This window comes from Homo sapiens, chromosome 14, assembly GCF_000001405.40.
Source record: "Homo sapiens chromosome 14, GRCh38.p14 Primary Assembly".
NCBI lineage: Eukaryota > Metazoa > Chordata > Mammalia > Primates > Hominidae > Homo > Homo sapiens.
The window spans coordinates 99,113,471-99,122,444 of record NC_000014.9 but is presented as its reverse complement, the minus strand read 5'-3'; positions in this window follow the sequence as shown (position 1 = coordinate 99,122,444).

Below are 8,974 nucleotides of genomic sequence, written 5' to 3'. Positions count from 1 at the left end.
CATTGCCCCATCTCAGTGCCAGGTATCTGTCCCACCCCATTTCCCTTACCTCCTAAGCTCCTCTGGCTTCAAAGAAACTTAGGTCACGGCTGGGTGCAGTGGCTCACGCCTGTAATCCCAGCACTTTGGGAGGCCGAGGTGGGTGGATCACTTGAGGCGTGGGTCCTGACTGGGTGGGCATGGCAGCGCCTTCCCCGCAATCTGCCGTGGGCGGGGTCTGAGGAAGCAGCGTGCACTCTGTTGTCCCCATTTTCTGGTAGTCTCTATTCTACTCTCAACTTCTCTGAGTTTGAGACCAGCCTGGCCAACATGGTGAAACCCTGTCTCTACTAAAAACACAAAAATTAGCCGGGCATGGTGGTGCCCACCTATAATCCCAGCTGCTCAGGAGGCTGAGGCAGGAGAATCACTTGAACCTGGGAGACGGAGGTTGCAGTGAGCGGAGATAGCGCTATTGCACTTCAGCTTGGGTGAAAGAGCGAGACTGTCTCCAAAAAAAAAAAAAAAAAAAAGAAACTTAGAAACTTAAGTTACCAAGACCCTGCCCTCACGGAGCTTGGATTCTAGTGAGGAAAAAAAGGAACTAGACACAAAAACAAGTGCCGTAGGCTGGCTGGCCCACTGTGGACAAGGTGGAGCTGTTGTCTCGCCCAGGCAGGCAGGGAAAGCTGCCGCAGGGTGACCTGGAGGAAGGGGCTAGGTGAGCCCTGCGGATACCTGGGGGGAGGCCCCAGCAAAGGCTCCGGGCAAAGGCCTGGAGGTGAGTGGGTGTGGAGTGTGCTATGAAAGAGCAAGGGCCAGTGAGGGCAGGCTGGGGGTCTGAGGGCAGAAAGCACCAGGGGCCTGGAAGGCACAGGTTTTTGCTCTGGCGGAGTTGATGGAATAGGTGGTGCGTTCCAGGCACAGGAGAGGGCAGATCTGAGTTTGAGGTGAGTGTGTCTCCAGCTGGGTCCTGACTAGGACGGAGCACACAAGGGCTGAACCTCGCGGGGCCCTGGCACGTGCCTCTGCCTCACTGTCTGAGGGAGAGCATCCTGGTCAGGTGCAGGATTCGTTTCAGACCAAGGGACACCTAGGGCAGCAGCTTCACTGAGGACATTAAGACAATGACCGAAACAGCCTCTGTTTCTTGAGCACTTACTGTGGGTCAGGCAGGTGTACAACTTATGGCAGCGCTGGCAGGTGGGTTCCATTGTGATCCCCATTTTACAGATGGACAAACTGAGGTCTGGAATGGTTTAGTGCCTCACCTAAGGTCCCATGGCCAATAAGAGGCACAGCAGGATTTGAGCCCAAGTGCCTCATGGTAAGACCTGTCCTAACCATTTCTTACCTGGCTGAATTAACCAAAGGATGAACGTGAACAGCGGGGAGGAGAGGTTTTGCTTTTTTTTTTTTTTTTTTTTTGAGGTAGGGTTTCGCTTTTGTTGCCCAGGCTGGAGTGCAATGGCGTGATCTCAGCTCACCGCAACCTCTGCCTCCCGGTTTCAAGTGATTCTCCTGTCTCAGCCTCCTGAGTAGCTGGGATTACAGGCATGTGCCTGACAGGGTTTCTCTATGTTGGTCAGGCTGCTTTCGAACTCCCAACCTCAGGTGATCTGCCCGCCTCGGTCTCCCAAAGTGTTAGGGTTACAGGCGTGAGCCACTACGCCCAGCCTGAGGTTTGCTTTTTGTCCTTGGAGCCTAGACTCCTTTGGGTAGATGGAGGCTCTGTTCATCTTTGAACCATGAGGCTGGGCGCTGGGCATGACGGGCACCCAGAGTGTATTTGCCAGCTCTCTTGAGGCCGATTGTTACCAAAACACTTACTGAACATCTGTTAAGAGCCAGATGCTTTGCCAGGCACTGCGGGTACTTGGGGGTGGGGTGGGAGCATGTTTAAGATTTAATTCCTGTCCTTAAAAGCTTTCGTTTAGCAAGATATTTTTGGTGGGCAAGACATTTGTTCAACGTTTATCAGGAGAACTTTATTGCTGTTTTACAACATTATTGCTAATCTTAGTAAAAGCCAAAAGGTGGATTTTATTTATGGCCATTTCACAGACAGGGTAGCCCACTGCAGGGAGGGCAACCGACCTACTCAAGCCAGTGGCTGAGCTGGATCCACCGGCAGCCGACCGCGTTTTCTGGATTCCCAAGGACCAGCGTTGCCTATGCAAAGTTTGTGTTTTCCTCTCATTTTAATAGTACATAACCTTCTGAAGGGACTTGGTGTTCATTAATACTGGCCAGGTGCCCGAATGCTATATGGGATTCGTTTAAACTCGGGCTCTGGCAAATTTGATTTTTACTGAAAATTACCCATTTTTTAACATTTAAAATGTTATCGAGCCATGTGGCCATTGCCGTCTTGGGCAGAAAACATCTTGGATGAATTTGCATTTTTAATTCTTGGCATTTTTATGTTGCTTTAGTTCCCAAAGAGCTTTTTTTCCTCTTTAAAAAAAAATTTAAAGAAAGAAGGCAGCCCGCAATAGGGCAGAAACGCCAAGAGAACATAATACTAGTAGTAATGTGTGTTCCCTCGCTGCTAATTGCACCAAATTTTACCATGTGCTCCTGAAGCAAAGCCTGCCTGCTGCTCTCCAAACCCAGCTTCTCCTGCAGCCACCTAACAGGGGTGAGATAATCATTCCTTAATGCTGCTGCTTCTGAGGGTGGCTGCCATGGCTGGACCCTGCCTGTCGAGCACTGGGGAGGCAGCACCTAGGGCCTCCGTTATTTAAGAGCACAGTGTGCCTTCCCACCACCTTTGCCTGGTGCTGGGTGCCGAGGCTGGGCCAGGGCTCTCTCAGGGTTGGGTGTCAGAGCCAGACAGGACTTTAAAGAACAGTGGGCATGTTTCAGTTAAGGAAACAGAGGCTGAGAAGCAAGAGGGAATAGGGGCTCACTCTTTATTATTCAGCAGTGGTTTCTTGAGCACCTATTCCATGCCAAATAGCGGGGGGAGGAGTTAGGCATGGCTCTGCCCTAATGTTGGGTAGGGGGCAGCCAAGCACCCAGAACACTTGGGTGCAGGGGGACAGGTGCTAGGAGAGTGGGTATGGGGGATGTGTGAGCCCAAAGGTGAGGCCCCACCCTCCCCCTGCTGGCTGTTTGCCTCTGTCCTCACAAAACCCTAGGCGGTATTTTGATTGCCATTTACAGATGGGGAAACCGAGGCCCTGTTCTGTCTCACGGTGCTGCCCTGGTGTGGAGGCGGGCCTTATGCTCACTGTATGCCTAAGAAAGCTGGGGCGCCCCCACTCCACAGAAGCACAGCCAGTGCCCACCCACCGACACTGGGCCTCTGGACGCTGGAGAGACAGCAGTGAACAAAGCAGACGGGAGCCCTGCCTGCCCAGCACTGGCGTTGGGGTGATGGGAACAGAGACAACAGACAACCTAGTAAGGAAGACGATTTCAGATGCCAACAGTGCACACAGAGAAAAACAGCAGGGCCACGTGAAGCCGAGTGACCGGACCATGTGTAGAAGAGGCCAGATAGGCCTGGATATGAGCTGTGTGTATCCAAGGGACAGAAAAAAGACCCGGAGGTTAGCCAGGGTGGATGTGGACTAAACCCTCAGCTTCTGCTTAGGCTCCACCATTGCTTGCTGTGTGGCCATGGGCAAGTGACTCGGCCTTTCTGTGCTTCTGCTTCCATGTCTATATAATGGAATAGTAATAGTACCTACCACATAAGATTGTTTTGCAGATTAAAGAAAACTAAAGAAATACACACAGACACATACACACACACAGACACATACACACACACACATGCATGCACGCGCGCGCGCGAGCGCGATCTATGTCTCTATCTGTATCTATAGCTACCGCGCTTAGCCAAGTGCCTGACCGAGAATGCGCCCTCAGTGCGCGCAGCGGGGGACAATCTTTCCCTCTCCCAGGGCCAGCGTGCAAATCCCACAACGCGGCAATCCTTCTTTCCCTCCAGCGACTCTGTGGGGCCATTGAGCCTGCTTCGCGAAGTGAGGAAGCCACATTTGAATTTGTTAAAAACAAAAAACAAAAAACAACAAAAGCCCCAAACCAAACAAACACTGCGCGACACGGGACGCTGTTTCCTTCAGCCCGCGCCTTGCACAATATGGTGCGGTGGGCCGGGAACGCTTGGCCACAGATGGCGCGCTTGGTACCAGCCCTGTTTTCTAAATACCCGGCTCCTCAGTGTAAATGATAGCGTCGCACACATGGTGCCGCTTGGCTCCCGGGAGGCTCCGGCGACCACGCTTTTCTTGGCCTGCCGCCCCGGGTCCGGCGTTCTCCCTCCAGATGGCGGGCATCAGAATCTCTCAAGACGCGGGGTGTGGCTGCTGACACTCGGGTTAGAAGCAGGGCCGTCCCTCGTCCCTGCGGGGCCAACCCGGACGACTCTTTCTCCCACTTGTGGCCTCGGAGGGGATGCAGAATTGAGCAGCTGGTGGGACAGGGGAGGGAACCTCCGATGACACCGCAGTAGGGCTGAGACTCGAACCCAGCTCCTTTGGGGCCACGTTCTTGAATTCTCTCTCTTCTGGGACAAGTGTGCATTTTCAGGAGTCTACTGCTCAGCCCCCCTCAAAGGCAGCAAGGGGACGGGGGAGGCAGGGACGTTCATCCCACACGAAAGAAGTCTCTGCTTTTGTGCCGGCCTGCGGCAGGCAGCCTGGCAGAGGCGGAGGAAGGCCAACCTGGCATCCTTACACCCTGCAGGTTGAATTCTGTCTTCACTCTGTACTAGTGATTTCAGATCACTGAATCCAAAGCTCAGCTTCTTTATCTGTTAGATCAAACTAATGTACAAGGGGCAGGGCTGGCGGCAGGGATGGGGGCACTCTGTCCCAGGCACAGGCAAGAAGGGGCACACTGTCTGCAGGGAATTGAAAACCTTAAAACTGACTCAGACTAAACTGGCTTTTTATGATCACTATGCACTGGCAATTCTAAACATCGTCGGTGATAGAATGTTCTTCCCTGAAATATTCTTTTGTTGGTCCAAGTTTGTAAACAATCACTGCATTTTAATAGTGAGTCTAAATATTACCTCCTTCAGCTTCAAGTTCACAGGGTTTGATGACATCTAGAATATGTATCATATTCTAGATGAAAGTTATACAGTCGGCCCCTAACATGCCCAGACTCAACTACATGGGTTCATTTGGAGAGTAAGTTCCTAACAGCTTGGAACCTTTCCCACGTACTTTGGGCACCCGGTGGCACTATATATTTCTGCATTGAAACAGTTAATTTGAAATATAGCAATAACAGCATAGTGATTGATGAAAGACAGAGATGGAGTGACTTGGATTAAATGAGATAGTGCATGGACGTACTTGTCCAAGGGCAACCCCTGGCACCTGGCTGTTGCTTAGTTAATGTGAACTGCCTTTAAGGTGGAAACACGGGCCCCTCAGTTGTAAAAATGGGTCTAATACCATCTTACGGAGTTGTGGTTCAAAGAGCAGCTCACGTAACTCCATGCAGTGTAGTTCGCTTTTCTGGAAAATGGAGATCAGAATATTTATTCCAGTGAAATCCAATGAGGCCACCTCCATCAAGTGCCTGGTTGGGCTATCAGATCCTGTTCTCGGAGTCTGATCCAGTTCCACCCCGTATCTGACCCAGGGCTCCATTCCCCATTCTTGCCTCTCCTTCTGGACCCTAAACTTGGCTTCATAAGATTGGCTCTGCCAGAGGGCAAGGAGTCTGCTTCCCCATAGTAAATTGAAGTCATGCTTGCAAGAAATAAAAACTGATGTTGTTAACATAAGCAAATGGAGATTTAGTGGAAGGATATCATGGGGTGTCTGTGTGTTGGGGAATGGGGGAGCTCCTGAAATGAGGAGGAGCCCTGAGACCAGACTTGGGAGTGGGCAGAAACCAAGAGAACCTAAGAAGAGGAGGATGAGGCAGCAGGAAGTACAGATATAGTCTTGCACATGGAGTGGCCTGGCTGGTCACCAGCCCCACATTTTAGCTGCTGCAGCTGCCATGAAACCCCTCCTTCTGTCCTCACATGTGATAATTCAAGATTCAAAGCCTGGAAGGCAGGCATGGATTGGCTAAGTTTAGGTCATATTGTCCACCCCCTGCTTTACTAGGGGTGGGGAGATCTAGAATGTGGTCCTCTAGGCTTCAAAGTGGGAAGCTTGTTCTGGGTAACTATCAGAGACCCCACTCTGAGGGAGAGCTAATTCCCCCAAAGAAACCTGAGATGCGCTCAGGCAGGGGAATGGATGGAAAGTGCACAAAACACACCCTTAGCTCTTTCTTCTCTCCAGGTCCCTTAGTCCCTCCAAGGGAGGTTCTCACAATACCTGACAGATTTGAAAGACTTGACTTCTAGACCTGTTTCTGAGATGGGTAATGTTTCTGTCTGAATAACAGAGAGCCTGGGATTTTGCTGCTTATGGTCTGAGAGCTGGGTGAGGATGAGGAAAGAAAACTTCTAGTGCATGCAGAGTTTGTACTGTGCACTTCACATTCATTTATCTCTTTTAAATTACAACCAAAGCCCTTGGACATATATATTATTATTCCTATTTTGCAGGTGGAAAACAGGTTCGGAGGACTCAAGTGAAATTACTTACAGTTTCATTTAGGATTCTTGGGTGTAACTATCAGAAATGGGCTCTAGTTAAATTAAGTCAAAGGTTAAATTGGAAGGAAATGGGGCTGATAGAATTGAAGAGAAGCAAATGAATCATATTTGGAAAAGACAGGAACCTGTACTTCCCTGGGGATCCAAGTAGCAAAAACCAATGGTGACTTCTAGGGAAAATTAGTTCTAGGATTTTCCTAAACCTATGCCTTTGGGAGAGACAGTGACTTTTCCAGGCATATCACCTGGGCAGTCTCATACAACCCTTACCCTTAGAAGGTTCTTACTCTGGGTTTAATGCTCTGCTGTTGCCATATTGAAATTCCTAATAATTTTGTACAAGGGACCCCGCGTTCTCATTTTGCTCTGGGCCCTGCAAGTTATGTAGCTAGTCTTGCTTTGGTTAGGTGAACACAAGGCACATTGATTGACAGTCCTATCAAGATTGCATACAACGATGATGAGGTATTTTCCTAAATCAATACTGGGAATGTTAGCACATGAAGTAGGGGTTTGCAGCAGGAGGGTGTGGATGCTAGTCAGGCATGCAGACCACAGATATTCACTACAGTTCACACCTGGTCAGCCCAGTATCCCCACACATCCTTTCCCCCATACACACAGTGTTACCTTGTATCACTTCCACCCAAATTTCATTGACCAGTAGTCACAGGACTTTGACATGACTGCAAAGGAGGCTGGAAAATGAAGTGCTTAGGATGAGGAAATGAGATGGAAGAGCATCTAATCAGTCCCTGCCACAGCCTATTTACCCATAACCATAAGCCACCCCAAATTACATACTACGTGTTGTATATTATATATATTGTGAAATCATTGTCAAGGGATGAGACAAGATTGACAGTTGAGATCAGGAATGAAGGAAAAAGAATAAAATGAGTGCCTTATATAAACATATGATTGCAAATGCTTTCAAATGAATATTATTGTTGACACAGCTCTTTGCATCTAGGTATAGGTAAAAAATAAATTCAAAATACTTATTGGAATTAAAAACAAAATCTCTCAGTAGATGCATAAGTTATCAGCCAGATACAGCTGAGAAAAGAACAAATGAAGTAGGAGACAGAACTGATTAAGACTCTAGTACATAGACTTAGAGATATCAACTATTAAAAGTATGGAAAATATAAAAGAGAATCTAAGAAAATTTGAAGACAGAATGAGCTATTTTAGCATATGACTAATAGGATGGAAAATATGGAATAGATATCAAATATGAAAGAAATAGCAATTATAAGAGAAAGAGACATAAAATAGAGAATGAGAAGCTTCAACCTAAATCTAACAGGATGCAAATTATTGAAATAGAAAATATGAAAGAGAACTTAAGAGATATAGAAGACAGAAAATGAAGTTCCAACATATGTCAAGAAGGAGAGTCCAGAGTAAAAGACAGTGAGCCAGTATTTAAAGAAATAAGAAGCCTGGGCAACATGGTAAAACCCTATCTCTACAAAAAATTAAAAAAAAAAATAGCTGGGCGTGATGGTGTGCCCTTGTAGTCTCATTACTTGGGAAGCTGAGGTGGGAGGATTGCTTAAGCCTGGGAGGTAGACACTGCAGTGAGCCATGGTTGGGCCACTGCACTCCAGCCCCAGCTGATAATTTTTCTAAGTGCAAAAATACTCATTAAATTTCATGTTTAGATGTTTTTCAGTGGAACTGTAGACTATCAAGGATAGAGAGAAAATCCTAAAGGCCAGCGAATAAGACATGGGTTATCTTCAGCACAACAGCAATCAGATTGTTAGCCAACTTCTCAAGAACAACACCATATGCAAGAAAAAATGATATAGTATCTTTGAAGCTGAGAGAAAATAATTGTGAATCTACAATTCTATACCTAATCAAACTATAATTTAAGAGCAAGGATAACATAAGACATTTTTGGATAAAGCAGAACATAGAATAGATGCTAAATGTATCATGTATGAATGCTTCCAAATATAATTATTAAATGAAGAATCTAAACCAAAAAAAATCCAGAGTGGGATGCAATGCAAAATAAACAACAATAAAATTTAAGGCTAAACACTAGAATCATAGAATGCATAATGTCTGAACCAGTAGTAGAAAATAAAAGAAATGTAGAAAAATTGATCAATCCAACAAAATAAGTAAAAGGAGAAAAACGAAAGAGGTAAAAAAAAAAGCATGAAGGTAAAAATAAATCCACATATGTTACTAACCATAACAAATGTAAATAGGTTAAACTCACAATTAAAATACAGGCTTCAGATTACATTAAAAATTTGTAAGTATATGATGATTATAATATACACACCTAAAACATTCAGGAGACATTTAAAAATTAAGGCATAGACAGTAGATATACTAGGCATTTGCTGATCCAAAGGAAGTTAG